Source organism: Homo sapiens, chromosome 14 (assembly GCF_000001405.40).
Source record: "Homo sapiens chromosome 14, GRCh38.p14 Primary Assembly".
NCBI classification, from domain to species: domain Eukaryota; kingdom Metazoa; phylum Chordata; class Mammalia; order Primates; family Hominidae; genus Homo; species Homo sapiens.
This window is the reverse complement of record NC_000014.9, coordinates 33,964,971-33,983,425: the sequence shown is the minus strand read 5'-3', so window position 1 is coordinate 33,983,425 and position 18,455 is coordinate 33,964,971. Positions and strand designations below refer to the sequence as shown.

The following is an 18,455-nucleotide window of genomic DNA, read 5'->3' as shown; positions in this document are numbered from 1 at the left end:
AAAACCAAACACCACATGTTCTCACTTGTAAGTGGGAGCTGAAAGATGAGAACACATGGACACAGGTGGGGGCACAACACACACTGGGACCTATCAGGAGGTGGGAGGAGGGAGAGCATCAGGAAGAATAACTTATGCATTAATTAGCTATCAATAGCTAATTATTATTAGCTTAATACCTAGGTGATGGGTTGATCTGTGCGGCAAACCACCATAGCACACATTTCCCTATGTAACAAACCTGCACATCCTACACATGTACCCCGGAACTTAAAAGTTGAAGAAAAAACAAATGCCCAAAAGACTGATTCTCAAACTTCTGCTTGCAAAGAAACACATTTGGTTTTGCAGAGAATGATTGCATTGGCACAATATAAAAGCCTGTCTCCTCAAGAATTGGAAGGTAAAACATCTGAAGAAAACATTGGTATGTAGCCAGAAAATGATCAGTTTGAACCAATCTCCTAATAACTGTGAGGAAAAAGAAGAGAAACTTCATTTTTGTGAATATGATATGGCTGTGCTATTCAGTGCAGTAGCTATTAGCCACATGTGGTGATTTAAATTTAAGGTAAAATTAATGAAAATTAAACAAAATTTAAAATTCAGTTCCTCAATCACACTAGCTATATTTCAAGTACTCAATAGCCTTACTCACTGGTAGCCACAATAGCAGATATAGAACATTTCCAAAATTGCACAGGGTCCTATTGGGCAGCCCCCTATAAAGCATTTCCACAATTCCTAACCCCATTGTCTCCAACTGTTGTTCTTTCATATATAGTCAACCAGTTTAAAATGGCAAGTGCTTGGCCAGGCGTGGTGGCTCACACCTGGAATCCCAGCACTTTGGGAGGCCGAGGTGGTCAGATCACGAGGTCAAGAGATTGAGACTATCCTGGCCAACATGGTGAAACCCCGTCTCTACTAAAAATACAAAAATTAGCTGGGCGTGGTGGCGGGCGTCTGTAGTCCCAGCTACTTGGTAGGCTGAGGCAGGAGAATCACTTGAACCTGGGAAGCGGAGGTTGCAGTGAGCCGAGATCGCACCACTGCGTTCCAGCCCAGCAACAGAGCTAGTCTCCATCTCAAAAAAAAAAAAAAAAAAAGGCAAGTGCTCCTGAATACCTTGTAGGCATCAACAGCTCAGTGAACCTAAAGATATATTGAGCACATTGCAGAGCATCCACACTGAGTGGGGAGAATCTAAAGCGCGAGAAGGCTGGTACCATAAAGCACTACAGAGAACCCAGTCTTAAAGTGAGCCAGTGGGAATCACCACTTCTGATACCAGCTCCCAAACATAGGCCTACTCCCTTTACTGCCCTGGACTTCAGTTTCCATATTTGCCAAATGGGAGCAGAAGGCCAAACAATTTTTTAAGTACGTTCAAGCTCTAAAACTCAATGACCTTCCCTATATGTTACACTGATGAAAGAGTTGTTGCATGTCTAAATTACTTATGACTCTCAGATGCAGGGTAGGGGTCCTATGGTTGGTTAGTACTACTCTTCCACCTCCCCAAGAAGCTGTCTTAAATGATGGTTAACCTGGAATTAGAACATGCTAACAATGGCAGAGTCTTTTAGACTATATTCACACACTGCCCTGTGGAATCCTCAGCAGCCCTCTGTATAATGAGAAATTATGATACTTCCTGGATTGTTCCCGAAAATTAGCAATTAGCATATGATTAAAAAAACTGTGAGATAAGAATTTCTTTTTATTTATTTACTTATTTTTGGCAGAGTCTTTTGCTCTGTCGCCCTGGCTGGAGTGCAGTGGTGACATCTTGGCTCATGCAACCTCCGCCTCCCAGGTTCAAGCGATTCTCATGCCTCAGCCTCCTGAGTAGCTGGGATTACAGGCGTGCACCACCATGCGGGGCTGAGTTTCTTTTGTTTCTTTTTTCTTTTTTTTTTTGAGATGGAGTTTCGCTCTTGTTGCCCAGGCTGGAGTGCAATGGCGCCATCTCGGCTCACTGCAACCTCCACCTCCCAGGTTCAAGCGATTCTCCTTCCTCAGCCTCCCGAGTAGCTGGGATTACACGTGTCTGCCACCATGCCCAGCTAATTTTTGTATTTTTAGTAGAGACGAGGTATTGCCATGTTGGCCAGGCTGGTCTCGAACTCCTGGCCTGAAGCTATCCACCTGCCTCAGCCTCCCAAAGTGCTGGGATTACAGGCGTGAGCCACTGCGCCCGGCCAGATTTATTTATTGATTGTGGACTGTGACCCACCTCAGGTCACCTGGGCCCTTGGAAATTTCCCCTCCACCACAGGGCAGCCGTGGGGAGTCAGGCCTGGTGGTCTCTCAGTGCTTTCTCTACCTGACAATATTTTGGCACAATTTCCACTGCCTTTTGGTTAGCCCATATTGTAGTGGCTTGAAATTTTCCAGAGCTCCTAGAGGGCAAGAGACAAGTGCCTGTGCTCTGGATTCTCCCAAGCATATCTGTTCCTTCCTAATATTCCCTACTCCCCACTGGCTCTTTGACCCTTAAGTTTTCCCTATAGTGGGGTAGTGGGGGTGAGCGGGAGCTCCCACATTCACATTTGATCTGTTGCCCTCCACTTCTTCTCCCCTTCCTACTTCACCTTCACGTCTAACCCCAAATGCCTCTCCACCCTAGCCTGCTTCTCTATACTGGTTTTTGTGGGGTTTTTTTTTTTTTTTTTTTTTTTGAAACGGAGCTTCGCTCTTGTTGCCCAGGCTGGAGTACAATGGCGTGATCTCAGCTCACTGCAACCTCCACCTCCCGGGTTCCAGTGATTCTCCTGCCTCAGCCTCCTGAGTAGCTGGGATTATAGGCATGCGCCACCACGCCTGGCTAATTTTGTATTTTTAGTAGAGACACGGTTTCTCCATGCTGTTCAGGCTGGTCTCCTGACCTCAGGTGATCCGCCCACCTTGGCCTCCCAAAGTGCTGGGATTACAGGCATGAGCCACCGCACCTGTCTATACTGGTTTTTAGCATGTTTTCTTTTCCTTCCCTCTTAAGGAATTCTGAAACACGTGCACTTTTTTTAGGTTGACATCTAAAAATTTTTTATCATAAGTTTAGTAGTTGCAAAAGACATAATCTCTGCTGCATTTTATATTGTATATGTCCTCTAAATGTAACCAAATCCAGGTGCAGCTGCTGGCTGCTCAAAAGCCGGACACAAGAGATGAGGGTTGGTGGGAGGAAAAGCAGGTTTATTTGGAAAGCTAGCAAAACCAAGAAGGTAGTAAACTAGGATTCTAAGGTACCTGTTAAGTCAGTACAAATTTCAGGCTCTTTTTACATTTAGGGCTGGGGGAAGAGGAAGTGGTTGGAATTGAGGTAATTGATGGCCACAGACATCTGGGCACCAGCAAGGGTCCCAGGAGACTGGGGACTTCTTTGTTCTTGATCAGGTCACAACGCTCCTATAAATCTTTAACAAAACATAGTTATTGTTTACATACTTCTCCTTTAATCCCAGAGTTAGTTTCAAAAACTACATGATTGCTGTTTCTGTGTATTATCTCAGTGCTCTAAAAATTATCCTAGACTGGGCATGGTGGCTCAGGCCTGTAATCCCAGCACTTTAGGAGGCCGAGGCGGGAGGACTGCTTGAGCCTCCGAGTTTGAGACAAGCCTGGACAACATAGGGAGACCCCGTCTCTACACATAGTTTTTAGAAACTTAGTTGAGCATGTTGGCATGTGCCTGTAGTTTCAGCTAATGGAGGCTGAGGTGGGAGCATTCCTTGAGCCCAGGAGGTCAAGGCTGCAGTGAGCTGTGATTGCACCACTACACTCCAACGTGGGTGACAGAGTGAGTCCCTGTCTCAAAGCAAAGGAAAACAAAACTAAAATAAATAAATAAAATAAAATTATCCTAGCCTATGTGCGTGAATGGGTAAAGGCCCTTTAAACAAAAATGGAGTTAGTTATGTTAGTTCTTTTGCTGTTTCACTGTTACATAAATATATTTTTTTGTTAGAACATTAGATTTTGCTCATTCAATATATGGAAAATGTCTGCACAGATCCTAATGGCCAAAGTTAGTTTTTGTTGTCCAGCCAAATCAGCTGTACTTTCTGTCAGGACAAGTCTTGATTTAATTTTTCAATTTAAGTTAATGTTTCCATATGCGTCCTCATGGCAACCATATCACTTCTGAATTCTAATACATAGAACCAAAGATAAGCAGATGAGGCATAGGGCTGCATATGGCTCTGCAACCTGGATGAAATGAGGCCCCAGGGCCCTCGAGATTTTTCTACGAGCTCACCTGGCACTGCTAGGAAACAACCTCCCTCAGGAGCGTGCATTCTCCAATTGTCCTGTCATTTGGTGTCCTGGAGGTTTTTGTACCCTGGGAACATGCGCTATTTTAGGATTCTGGATGGTGAGAGGCATATTTTTCTTTTGTAAACTAGGAGAGCAAACCATTTGAAAAGACGGGTTGGGTAAGGAGGACCAGCCAATCACAGTCAATTCTAAACGCAAATTAATTAATTTTAGGAAAGAATACACATGGAAGTTGACAATGTCAAAAACTTTTTTCTTAAAATTGCCAGTGCCCAAGAAGTCCTGAGGAAGTCTTCGTGTACTTCCAGGGGTACACACACACACCACAGGAAGACCACAGCCTTCTAGTGAAGTTCTGTGCTCAGACCCCGGAGCTTTGCTCTTAAAACATTGGAAAAGAAAATTTTTTGAATTTCAGCAAAACCCTTTTTTCTCTGAACAAAGCTTGGAATGATCTTGCTGTGAACTTAAGAATTTTAGTTTGACACTGTAAGCTGAGTAATGACTTTGTTCTAGTTAGGTATTCAGCCTTCCCCTGAGGTAGTGAAACTCATTGATTCAACGAGTGAGGGGTCATAGGACACCACCACTTAAGGGGAATGAAAATTACTTTGGTTTAATATTTCAAGAGTCTCATCCTTCTTTTATCTTTCATTTGGAACAGGGATTAAACTGATTCTGTGCTGTAGGACCAAAGAAATGGGGATATACAGAAGCCAATTTTGAGTTGATGGGAGGGAGGAAGAAGCAGAGCTGTGAAGCTATGATGGGATCTGCCTTCTGTGACCCACATGTCACCCGGGGCCTCTGCCTGTTGACACCTAAGATTGACTCATTTTTATCCCTCAGTTCTTTCTTTTCTTTTCTTTTCTTTTCTTTTCTTTTCTTTTCTTTTCTTTTCTTTCTTTCTTTCTTTCTTTCTTTCTTTTTCTTTCCTTTCTTTCTTTCTTTCTTTCCTTTCTTTCTTTCCTTCTTTCTTTTTCTCTTTCCTTTTTTCTTTCCTTCTTTCTTCTTTCTTTCTCTTCTTTCTTTCCTTTTCTCTCTCTCTTTCTTTCTCTCTCTTTCTTTCTTTCTTTCTCTTTCTTTTTTCCTTCTTGATGGAATCTCGCTCTGTTGCCCAGGCTAGAGTGCAGTGGCACAATCTCGACTTACTGCAACCGCCACCTCCCAGGGTTTAAGTGATTCTCCTGCCTCAGCCTCTAGTGTAGCTGAGATTACAGGCACGTACCACCATGACCAGCTAATTTTTGTATTTTTAGTAGAGATGGGGTTTCACTATGTTGGCCAGGATGGTCTCAAGCTCCTGACCTCAAGTGATCCGTGCTCCCCGGCCTCCTGAAGTGTTGGGATTACAGGCATGAGCCACCAAACCTGGCCTATCCCTCAGTTTTCACAAGATGAAAGTCCAGAGCTGTCCCTAAGAGTTTGGCAAGTTATTTTCTTGTGGTTAATGCTGATTCCAGGTGCCTGATTTCAATTGTGCCATTCTGTAGCACATCAATCCAGATGTAAAACTTATCTCCAATTTTGATTTTCAAAAAAAGCACTAGAGTGGGAGGGAACAAAGCAAAGGAGACAAGCAGCTGTTAACGTCGAAGGAAAGAAACAAAACAAAACAAAACAGTTTCATGGAGCGCTAGGTGGAAAGACTTCCAGCCAGCCTCACTCAGAGACAGTGGGAGTGGAGCCTTCCTCTCTCTATCTTGCTAAATGCCCACTTCACTCATCTTCCTCTGCAAGCCTTGTTCCCACTTTAGGCTGGTACAAAAGTAATTGTGGTTTTTGTCATTACTTTCAATAGCAAAAACCAGAATTGCTTTTGCACCAACCTAAATAGTGGTTGGTGCAAAAATATGTTCAAAAGAACACACATTATTCTCCTTATCCCTTACATAGCACTTTAGCATTGGTTTACACCCATGCTCTTGGGGTCTTACCATACCTACAGTACTACAAAGTATTCCATATTCTTTCCCTAAATACAATTCTGCTGCCATCAGTATTATATTGTTACACTTGAAAAGCTGCGTGTTCCCTATTAATTAAGTCTGGATGTTCCTTAGTAAATAAGTCTGTCAAAAACCCTCAGAATGGATTCTAGTACTGGATGTAGCAGGGGATAGGAGGGGCGGGGGACTTGGATTAGGGAATCTTCTACTTTCCCTTCTACTTCAAAACTCTTTGACTCTACCCTTTGTTAAGTAGGTATTTTTCAGCATTATTTAAAAATCAGATAATAAAAGTATCCAAAAATAAAAAGAACTTCTATAATATCCAAGATAATATAGAAATTCAAATAGTTCACCCAAAAAAAGTACCAGTATTTACACTCGGCATACATCATTTGAAATTTCAGATTCATACAGTATTTATTTTACTTGTTTTATGAAAACAGGATTGAAATGTGCTGCTTTCCACGTGTGCAGGTTTGTTGCAAGGGTATATTTAGTGATGCTGAGGTTTGGGCTTCTATTTGATCCTGTCACCAAAATAGTGAACACAGCACCCAGTGGGAAGTTTTTCAGCCCTTGCGCCACTCCTTTTGGAGTCCCTAAGTGTCTGTTGTTCCCATTTTTTAATGTCTGTGTGCACCAAAGATTATCTCCCACTTATAAGTGAGAACACGCATCATCATTTTTAATAGCTTCACATTATATTGCTGGGCGCAGTGGCTCACGCCTGGAATCCCAGCACTTTGGGAGGCTGAGGCGGGTGGATCACGAGGTCAGGAGATCGAGACCATCCTGGCTAACACGGTGAAACCCCGTCTCTACTAAAAATACAAAAACAAAATTAGCTGGGCGTGGTGGCGGGAGCCTGTAGTCCCAGCTACTTCGGAGGCTGAGGCTGGAGAAAATGGTGTGAACCCAGGAGATGGAGCTTGCAGTGAGCTGAGATCGTGCCACTGCACTCCAGTCATCTGGGCGACAGAGTGAGACTCCGTCTCAAAAAAAAAGAAAACAAATAAAATATATGATCGAAGATATGATTCAACTAGGTTTCTTTTTATTCTTACCATTTATTCTTACAATTTGACTTTCAAGAAAACCAAGGCAGAAATTTTAAAAAGAAAGATGTACTGATTATGGATTGGGATCCAAATCACAGAATATGTTAACATAAGAATATTTTATTCTACACTATTCAAATATGCCATAATATATTCACCCAAAGCAATAAATCCTATGCTGCACAAGCAAATTACAAACAAATGATAGAAGCTGAAGTTTTCCTCTCAAAAGAGGCTAAAGAACAGATAATTTAGAAAGAACAGATTTTATTGGAACGTCAATAGTTTTCATGACACAGATACTTAAACTACTCATTTCAACATACCCATATGAAGAAAATTATGAAAAGGTTTTTTTTTTTTTTAAGAAAAGATAATTTGACAGATGGAGTCTTTTTATGGGATCAGTAGAAGTGATAAAATTGAATAAATTACCAAGATTTTATCTCCGTTTCTGTAATTCTCCCTAAAGATTTAGAGATGGCAGATTGAATCAAATGGAAAATAAATTTGCAAGTTTATAACATTTCTAAAACAGGAATTAGACACAAACTTCTGACTCTTTTCATGAGTGGTTTGCCTTGAGGAAACCTGCTCTTATGGGATTCCACATTTCCTAAGTATCAAGGTTCATCAAATGGACATGCACCACATAAGTTACACAAATGTAGGTTCTGTGAATGGTTTACTGTTTATTATTACCATGGTCAAAGAACAAATAAAAACAATTGTAAACTAAAAAACATTTGGAGCAACTCAAAATCTAGTTGCTCCAAATGATTCGTTTATGATCAGGCTAGATTAGATTGAAAATAAAATCAAGCCATGGCCTTTTGGTTCACAACATAAATGACTTATGCTTCTGGAGTTGTGTGATCTTATCACAGAGACAGAAGTTGTGCAGACTTCTAGGAGAAGGTGCAGAAAGACACTGCTAGGATGTTTTATGGACAGAACATATGTATATTACTTTAAGAAAAGCACCAGCAGACCAGATGTATCTCCTTCTACAGAATCCTAGCATTGCTTGAAAATTCAGCAGCTCTTTCCTAGACCATAAAACGAATGAGAAAAGGCAGTGGAAAGTAAAGTTTTCATAGAACCATAGGAGACAGTGTCTGGGAGAATCTGTAAAATCCTGTGTCCTTCAGTAGGAGAGGATCCCGAGACCCAGAGAGGGGAAGTGATTTGCTCCAAGTCTCACACACTCACCAACTGACAGTCAGAACTGGGGTCCTGTTGGCAAATAGTGAATAAAAAAAGTTTTAAATTCAAAGCCTCAGAAAGCAGAAAAGTAGAAAGTTTTGGCTGGGTGCAGTGGCTCACACCTGTAATCCCAGCACTTTGGGAGGCTGAGGCGTGTGGATCACCTAAGGTCAGGAGTTCGAGACCAGCCTGACCAACATGGAGTGGTTACCCTGTCTCTACTAAAAATACAAAAAAAATTTAGCCAGGTGTGGTGGCGCATCCCTGTAATCCCAGCTACTTGGGAGGCTGAGGCAGGAGAATCACTTGAACCCAGGAGGCAGAGGTTGCAGTGAGCCGAGATTGTGCCATTGCACTCCAGCCTGGGCAACGAGCAAAACTCTGTCTCAAAAAAAAAAAAAAAAAAAAAAAAAAAAAAAAAAAAAAGAAAAGAAAAGAAAAGAGAAAGAAAGTAGAAACTTTTTCAAGGGCCTAGCATAAGTCAAATCTCTACTGGCTTTTCATACTCTAAATTCAGGATTTACACAGGAAATATTCACTATGTTCTGTATTTTTTTCTTTTTGTTTGACCTTGTTCTATAATAACAATTTTGTAGTTGTTTTTTAATGTACCCATTGATAAGAAGAATATATGGTAAGCAAGGAGTAAAATGAATTAGCTGTCATGTGGAATGGATTTTCAGATTTTTTTAAAAAGCATAAAATCAACTCCTGTTCATTGCTATTTTGGGCTGCTTACCCCTCCTCCCCATTTGCTAATGTTTTCCTTTGCTTGTGTATGCAAAAAATTGTAAAACATAAACAGTGAGCAAATCATAAAATGTAGGCTTCTTTATGTTTGTATATCTAATTGTACTAAATGTGTTTGAGGCAGGACAACTCCCATCTCCCACAAAATCCAGGGTGGATTTTTAAAAAGCATTTTAGGACTTGTTTTTTTATTGGGCATCTCCCAGTTTTTAAGGTGTTTCTATGCTAGAAATCTCATGGATGTTTTCTTTATTTTCATGCCTCCTTGTACCCTCTGTATTGCAACCTGCCTTAGTGATTCCATCCATAACTGTGGCTTTAACTTATCTGTAGGGAAGGCTTCCAACTCAGTTTCCTATCCTGATTCCTCAGGGCATTCTTTACCCTCACTTTTCCTAGATCTCAACTGTTGAGAGGAAACCATACTGTCTGTCATTAGCAATTTTGCAAAAACAGCCTGTGAATGCATATTAGCATCACCTGATTACTGAGCGCCCAGAGGCTCCGTCTCTCTGTACCCGGATACAACACAGGAGGGAAATGATGTGGTTCCTGTCCTCAGAAACTCCTGGTCAAAGAAGGTTCCTGTGTCAGGTATGTGCAAGATGTGAAAGCCATAGACATAAACAGGTGTCACTGAAAATAGAAAGATATTTCCATGTAAACAGTGTATAAACTTGGCCTTTAGAGGTATCGGTGGAGCCAAGAAGAAACCGTTGGCAGTACTATCACACGAGGGAGGATAATAGAAAGAAAGAAAGTATATTTAAGACGAGAAATTGAGGGCCGGGCGCGGTGGCTCACGCCTGTAATCCCAACACTTCGGGAGGCCGAGGCAGGGGGATCACGAGGTCGGGAGATTGAGACCATCCTGGCTAACACGGTGAAACCCCGTCTCTACTAAAAATACAAAAATTTAGCTGGGCGTGGTGGCGGGCGCCTGTAGTCCCAGCTACCTCGGAGGCTGAGGCAGGAGAATGGCGTGAACCCAGGAGGTGGAGCTTAGAGTGAGCGGAGATCGCGCCACCTCACTCCAGCCTGCGCGACAGAACGAGACTCCGTCTCAAAAAAAAAAAAAAAAAAGAAGAGAAAATGAGAGAAACCATAAGGAAAGACAAATGCAGGGGCATACACACCGCAGAAAATCTCAGAATCTTGTTAAGCTTAGACTGGAGATAAATGTCAACTAGTCAAACCCCCATCTAACGCTTGAGTTCCTCTACAGTGTTTCCACCCAGCTGTGTTTTACACTTCTGCCTGAGAAGTTTCAGGGACAGGAAAGCAGCTGACAAATACCCCTGGAGCCCGCTGCACACTGGACTGTGATAATTATTGGAATGTTCGTCTAATAGTTAAATAGAACCTAAAATTGCCTTCACATCATTTTTTTTTCCCCATTGATTTTGGTTTCTCTCTGGGGCCCAAAAGCTAGCCCATGTCTGTCCCTGGCTTCCAAACCTCCCTACCTGGGCCTGGTGTGACTCGCTGCTTCCTGGTGTGCCATTGTATATTGTGTTCTCCAGGGCTTCTTTCAGTTCCCCAAAGACACCGAGCACATTCTTGCCCCAGAGCCTCCTGACTACAGCACTTGTCTCCTGCCTGTGGCATGAAATTTAGGTTTTCACTCAAATGCTACCTTTTCAGAGGAGCCTTCACTGACCACCAAAGCTAAAATAGCCCATTCCTGGAATGCTAAATTTAATGACATTTAAAAAATATATTTATGGCAAAGGCCATATAAGCCAGCTCAAAAGACCAACAAAAGACTGGGGAAAATACTTGAAACTCACATAATAGGCAAAGGACTAAATTCCCTAAAATATAAAGGATTTCTACAAATCAGTAAGAAAAAATTCAATAACCCAATAGAAAAAAAAACTGGCAAAGGATATGAACGGATCATCAAAACAATAACAACAAGAAGAACCTTACGTATGCGGCTCAGATATGTGAAAAAGTGCTCAGACTCACTGATGGTGAAAAAAAAGGAGAGAGAAATAATTTTTTTTAACTTGTCAAAGTGACAAAGATAAAACAATATTGATAATAACGTTGTATCAGCAAGGGTGTGGAAAACAGATTCCCTCATATTATACTGGTGGGACTATAACCTGGAACAATTTCTATAGAGAGTGATTTAGTAATATTTACCAAAATTAGAAATGCGCAAACCCTTTAACCCAGTGATTTCACTTCTACAATTTGCCTTTCAGATATGCTCCTAAGTATGGGAATTGATATATGTACAAAAGTACTCATGGCAACCTTGGATAGAGAATAATAGCAAGAGACTGGAAACAATATACAGATCTATCAATGGGGGTGGGCAAGTAAATTACAGTGTATTTACACAATGAAACATCACGCCATTACTAAAATGAATGATGCAGATCTGTATGTGGCCCCGGAGTGCTCTGAATGAGTTTTATGTTGACTATAGGCATTTATATTCTCTATTTTGTATTTATCTTCTCTTTAAATTTTAATTTTTAAAGTTTTTTTAAGTTTTTAACTTTTGTGGGTAAATAGTACGCAATGGAGTACTATTCAGCCATAAAGAAGAATGAGATCCTATCATTTGCAACAACATGGATGGAACTGGAAGTCATTAAGTATGTAGATGTATATATTTACAGGGTACATAAGATATTTTGATATAGTCACACAATGTATAATAATAACATCAGGGCAAATGGGGTATCCATCACCCCAAGCATTTATACTTTCTTTGTGTTACGAACAATTGTAGTCTTTTAGCTATTTTTAAATCTACAATAAGCTACTGTTGACTGCAGTCACCCTGTTGTGCTATGAAATTACTAGCTCTTGTTCATTCATCTAACTATGTTTTTGTACTCACTAACCATTCTGACTCTCCCTACCCCACTCTACTCTCTATGAGTTCAATTGTTTTTTAATTTTTTTTTTTTTTAGCTCCCACGAATAAGTGAGAACATAAAAAGTTTGTCATTCTGGGCCTGGCTTATTTCACTTAACATAAGGAGTTCCAGTTCCATACATGTTGTTGCAAATGATGGGCTCTCATTCTTTATGGCTGAATAGTACTCCATTGTGTATATGTACCACATTTGCTTTATCCATTCATCCGTTGGTGACACTTAGGTTGCTTCCAAACCTGGCTATTGTGAATAGTGCTTCAATAAATTTGGGGGTGTAGATATCCCTTCAATATACTGATTTCCTTTCTTTTGGGTATATACCTAGCAATGGGATTGCTGGAGCCTATGGTAGTTCTATTTTTAGTTTTCCGAGGAAAAATAAACTGTTTAACTAAAACTAAAAAAAAAAAACAAACGGTTCCAAACTGTTCTCCATAGAGGTTATTCTAATTTACATTCCCACCAACAGTGTACGAGGTTTCCTTTTACTCCACATCTTCACCAGCATTCATCATTGTCTACCTTTTGCATGAAAGCCATTCTAACTGGGATGAGATAATATCTCATTGTAGTTTGGATTTGCATTTCTCTGATGATCAGTGATGTTGAGCACCTTTTCGTATACCTGTTTGCCATTTGTATGTCTTCTTTTGAGAAATGTCTATTCAGATCTTTTTCCCATTTTTAAATCTGATTATTTGATTTTTCCCTATAGAGTTATTTGAGTGCCTTATATATTCTGGTTATTAATCCCTTGTCAGATGGATAGTTTGCGAATATTTTCTCCCATTCTGTGGGTTGTCTCTTTGTTTTTTTGATTGTTTCCTTTGCTGTGCAGAAGTTTTTTAACTTGGTGTAATCCCATTTGTCCAGTTTTGCTTTGTTTGCCTGTGCTTCTGGGGTATTACTTAAGAAATCTTCACTCAGTCCAATGTCTTGGAGAGTTTCAATGTTGTTTTGAATAGTTTCATAGTTTAAATTCTTAGATTTAATTATTTAATCCATCTTGATTTGATTTTGTATATGGTGAGAGATGGGGGCTAGCGTCATTCTTCAGCATATGGATATCCAGTTTTTCAGCACTGCTGACTGAAGAGACTGTCTTTTCCCTAATGTATGTTCTTGGCACCTTTGTTGAAAATGAGTTCATGGTAGATGTGTGAATTTGTTTCTGTGTTCTCTATTCTGTTCCATTGGTCTATGTGTCTGTTTTTATGCCAGTACCATGCTGTTTTGGTTACTATAGTTCTGTAATATAATTTGAAGTCAGATAATGTGATTTCAACAGTTTTGTTCTTTTTGCTTAGGATAGCTTTGGCTATTCTGGATCTTTTGTGGTTCTATATCAAGTTCAGGATTTTTTTTTTCTATTTCTGTGAAGAATGCCATTTGTATTTAGATAGGGATTGTAATGTCTAGATTGCTTTGGGTAGTATGAACATTTTAATCATATTGATTCTTCCAATCCATGAACATGAAATTTCTTCATTTCTGTGTGTCCTCTTTAATTTCTCACATCAATGTTTTGTAATTTTTATAGAAATTGTATTTATTTTCTTAAAGAGGCTCCCTAAAATTGTATCAGTTTCCGTACCCACAAAGCTTGGATACACTCCTAACCTTAACACAACTGGGAGATAGATAATCTCCTGTGAGTAACACAGGCTCCATTGCACAGTGATAGGAGGGGGATATGGTAGTACTATTTTTAGTTTTCTGAGGAAAACTAAACTGTTTACCTAAAACTAAAAAAGAGAACATGGGCAGTGGGGTGCAATAGAGAACAGGGATGGAACAAAACTGAGAGTTTGAAAAACGTGCCACAGGTGATTATGATGTGCTCCACCACTTTGAAATCCACCACTTCTCTGTTCAATGCATGAGTCCCCAACCCTGCATAGCCCTCCACCCTGTTCTCCTTAAGGCTCCAAAACCACTCTCACTTTCACATGAAGACTAAATGCTGCAGGCAAAGTTCAGGTGTCCTTCATCCATTTAATCACAACTCCCTGCCTTTATTAGCCTAGTTCGTCCAGCCCTTGAAGTGCCCCTAAGGAGCTCAGACTGGTGGATCCTAACTCCAGAGTCGTTTCCTCTTCCTGGGTTTTCTGATCTCTAATTTGAAATGCAGCTACCCTTCTTCATCTCACGTTTATCAAGAAGATAGCAATACACTGAAGACATTCCCAGATCATTCTCTAAGCTCCTCAGTCTTCTTGGAGGCAAGCAGCCTCTAAACAGTTCTCATCTTTTAAAAATTGCCTGAGTATTCACTTTTTATGTGTTTCCTTTTTGCCAGTTGTCAGACAAAATTGATGCTGCTGCTGGGAGGGTTTGGAGAAATTTTGAGGAGGCCAAATGGGGAGTAAACCAGGCTAGCAGGAAGCATCACAGTCACATAAATCAAGAAGTGAAGTTATGCGGGGTTTTTTAACCACTTTTTTTTTTTTTAAAGCAAGGGAGGTGAGCCATGGAACATTTGGAAAATGGAGAGGCAGGCTTAAGAGTAGTGCCACTGTGTTTAGTAAGACATGATTCCATTTACTTTTCTAATTTTCCTTCCTTCCTTCTTTCCTTCCTTCTGATGAAAGAAAAACTTCAGCTGAGTTTGCCCAGGTGCAACGGCTCACTCCTGTAATCCCAGCAGTTTCTGGGGCCAAGGCGGGTGGATCACCCGAAGCCAGGAGTTCCAGACTAGCCTGGCCGACATGGTGAAACCCCATCTCTACTAAAAATACAAAAATTAGCTGGGTGTGGTGGCATGTGCCTGTAATCCCAGCTACTCAGGAGGCTGAGGCAGGAGAATTGCTTGAACCTGGGAGGTGGAGGTTGCGGTGAGCCAAGATCACGCTACTGCACTCCAGCCTGGGCAACAGAGCAAGACTCCATCTCAAAACAAAACAAGACAAAACAAACTTCAGCCAAATGAAATTTAAAGGAGTTTAATTGAGCACTGAATGATTTACAAATCGGGAAGCCTTCTGAGCCAGAATAGGCTCAGAGACTCCAGCACAGCCACGTGGTAGAAGAAGATTTGTGGACAAAAAAAGGAAAGTGACATACAGAAAATGGAGGTGAGGTACAGAACAGAAACAGCTGAATTGGTTACAGCTCAGTGTTTGCCTTTTTTGAACACGGTCAGAGCAGTTGGTTACATTTGATTGGCCAAAACTCGGTGATTGGCCCAAGTGTAGGCTACAGTCTGTTTACACCTCTTCTTGGTATAGTTTATGACATACAGAAAAACCTTTAGGCTGAACTTAAATATGTAAGGAGACAGCTTTAGGCTACCCTTGTTTTAGTCCTTCCTTCGTTCTTCCCCCTCCCTTCCTTCTTTCCTTCCTGCCTGCTTGCTTCCCTTCCTTCCTTCCTTCCCCTTCCTGACTTCTCTTTAATGAGTAAAAATAGCTAAAAATATTTTATATGAGTTTTGTGATTAATATGATTTTGTGGTGCCTCTGAGGCTCTGCCTTCATCTGATTTGCCTTCAGACTTATAAAGTGAAGGCACCTTCAGGGGGTGCCCACGTTAAAGATTCCAATTCAAATCCACAATGATTTGGGAGAAAGCGGCTTATTTCTTTAAAATTGAATTCAACCTTGAATATAGTTATATTGAGCATAAACAAAAGAAATATGGCAGAAACCAGCCACTCCTGATCAGTCAAGGAATTTTGTCAGACCCTGCAACCTCCATTACCCTCTGCAGCCCCCTCCACTTTTTTTCCCAATCGTTTTTCCCTCTGCATCTGTGGGGTATTGCTTCCAGGACCCCTACAGATACCAAACTCTGAGGATCCGCAAGTCCCTGTGATATGGTATGGCTGTGTCCCCACCCAAATTTCATCTTGAATTGTAATCCCCATTATCTTCACATAATGTAAGAGGGACCCAGTGGGAGGTAAGTGATTCATGGGGTGGTTTTCCCCATGCCGTTTTCTTGTGATAGTGAGTGATTTCTCATGAGATCTGACGGTTTTAGAAAGGTCTGGCATTTCCCCTGCTGGCACTCATTTTGTCTCCTGCCACCCTGTGAAGGGCTGTCTTCTGCCATGATTTTAAATTTCGTGATCCCTCCCCAGGCATGTGGAACTGTGAGTCAATTAAACCTCTTTTCTTTTTCTTTCTTTCTTTCTTTTTTCTTTTTTTTTTTTTTTTGAGAGGGAGTCTCAGTCTGTCGCCCAGGCCAGAGTGCTGCGGAGCGATCTCAGCTCACTGCAACCTCTTCCCGCACCGTTCAAGCAATTCTCCTACCTCAGCCTCCCTAGAAGCTGGGACTACAGGCATGTGCCACCACACCTGGCTAATTTTTGTATTTTTGGTAGAGACGGGGTTTCACTATGTTGGCCAGGCTTGTCTTGAACTCCTGACCTCAGGTGATCTGCCATCCTTGGCCTCCCAAAGTGCTGGGATCACAGGTGTGAGCCATCATGCCTGCCTAAACTTCTTTTCTTTACAAATTACGCAGCCTCGGGTATTTCTTTATTGCAGCTTGAGAATGGACTAATACACCCTGATATAAGATCATGTAGGATTTCCATATAACTGTGAAAGGAAAACATATCTCAGGACTCCAGAATCACTAAGCCAAATGAAGTCAGGCAAACCTGCCTCTCATTTTATTCCTAAATAAGATAGCCACAAAGATAAAAAGCTACACACCTCCCTCACAATTTCTTCACAAGGAAATTCCTTGTGGACGTCAAGTTCTTTGCCCTAAAATGGTTCTGTTGAATTTTGCCCTGGCAATGTAAACTGATAACTTATCTTAACAGGTACAGACAACCGACAGAACTAAAAAGTCATTTCTCTGCTCACCCGATATCTGCATATCTGATTGCTTCCTCCTCCCTATTGTTTATGTAAAAATGCAGATTCACTGAGCCAGACTAAGCCATAAGTGACTATTCCGCCACCCCACTCTCACATGTAAATTGCGTATTCAGTGAAAAGCTGATCAAAAACTCGAAAGAGTGCAACCTTTTGTCCCTAATCTACCTATGACCTAGAAGCCCTCACTTTGAGATGTCCCATCTTTTTAGACTGGACCAATGTACATCTTACACGTACCGATTGATGGCTCATGTCTTCCTAAAATGTATACAATCAAGCTGTGCCCCAACCACCTTGGGCACATGACTTCAGGACCTCCTGAGGCTGTCACGGGCGTGTCTTTAACCTTGGCAAAGTAAATTTTCTAAATTGATTGAGACCTGTCTCAGATACTTGTGGGTTCACATAACCTAAGTACATCCTCCTGTGTACTTTAAGTCACCTGTAGATTACGTATATAGTTGTTGTATTGTTTTGGGAATGATGACAAGAAAAAAGCCTGCATATGTTCAGGACAGAAGCAACCATTGCAGGTGTAACTACATTTTTGATCTGTGATCAGCCGAATCTGAGGATGTGGAACCCGCAGGTATGGAGGGCCAACTGTACTGGCAGAAAAAAGTAGAGGCAGAATGAGGTGCCAGCTACCAGAAAGGCGGCTGACTCAAGTTAGAGAAAAGAGGCTGCGTTGCTGGGGATCACACTAAAGGGGCACATGCCTGCCTCACATCAGGACTCAGAGCTCGAGCAGGGAAGCCCACACGGGTAGGTGCATCTGCCAAGCCCAGAAGGCTGTGTGCCCTGCCATGAGGACCTTGGAACAGGGGCATAGTGTGGGTTGGGGTGAGGTTGGGGTGGCAAGGAGTAGTCTCAGCACCAGTCCCCCACTCTTAGCTCCCCAGGGTTTTCACCAGCTTGTCACCATGAGAAGCTGAAGAATGAATACCAGCAGCCATGGTGTGTTCCTTGTGGCTCTGAGGGCTTACAGAGGCTCTAGGGGGCTTTTCAAGACATCTGGTACCTGAATGGGATACCAAAGTTTAAGTTTCAGAGGCTTTTCCTAAGGCCTAAAGTTGGCAGAAACACTGTCAAAGGCCTCTAAAATAAGAGGGCTAATCAATGGGAAGACTCAAAAGGTATTTGTGGCATAATAAGAAATAAATTCTTACAGAACACCAAATAAAAGTTGCTTAATTATACCAAGTAAAAAGAAAAAGTATATATATTTGATCCTTGTCCCCAGTACCTGCTATAGGCTCCTAAAACCCTTGGAATTTCTTGAGTGATAAGAGCATCTTTTGTTATTCATAATGGGCCCCTTTTGATCATACCTGAGTTTATGCTGATGAGATAAGTCAGGGTGGGGCCAGTCACCAGAAAGACCAAGTGTGGAGAGGATTAGAGAGTAGGATATTTCAGCCCCACCCTCCAGCTTCCAGGAAAGGGAGAGGGGCGATAGAGATTAAGCTCTGTAAA

General features: G+C 41.4%; 1 long non-coding RNA gene across 1 annotated transcript in view, besides 1 other annotated feature; it reads left to right on the top strand.

The window, feature by feature from the left end:
• LOC102724945 (uncharacterized) overlaps positions 1-18,455 on the top strand; it is a 244,858-nt gene that overhangs the window by 220,303 nt on the left and 6,100 nt on the right. Inside the window, exon 8 of the long non-coding RNA XR_001750942.2 lies at positions 9,647-9,841. This is a non-coding gene — a long non-coding RNA (uncharacterized LOC102724945). The remainder of the gene's footprint in view (positions 1-9,646; positions 9,842-18,455) is intronic.
• Positions 10,434-10,753: an enhancer, noted in NCBI's record as "active region_8244". NCBI's record gives its function as "activates an Ori minimal core promoter by ATAC-STARR-seq in GM12878 lymphoblastoid cells {active_cell/tissue: GM12878}" and the evidence as "EXISTENCE:reporter gene assay evidence [ECO:0000049][PMID:35858748]".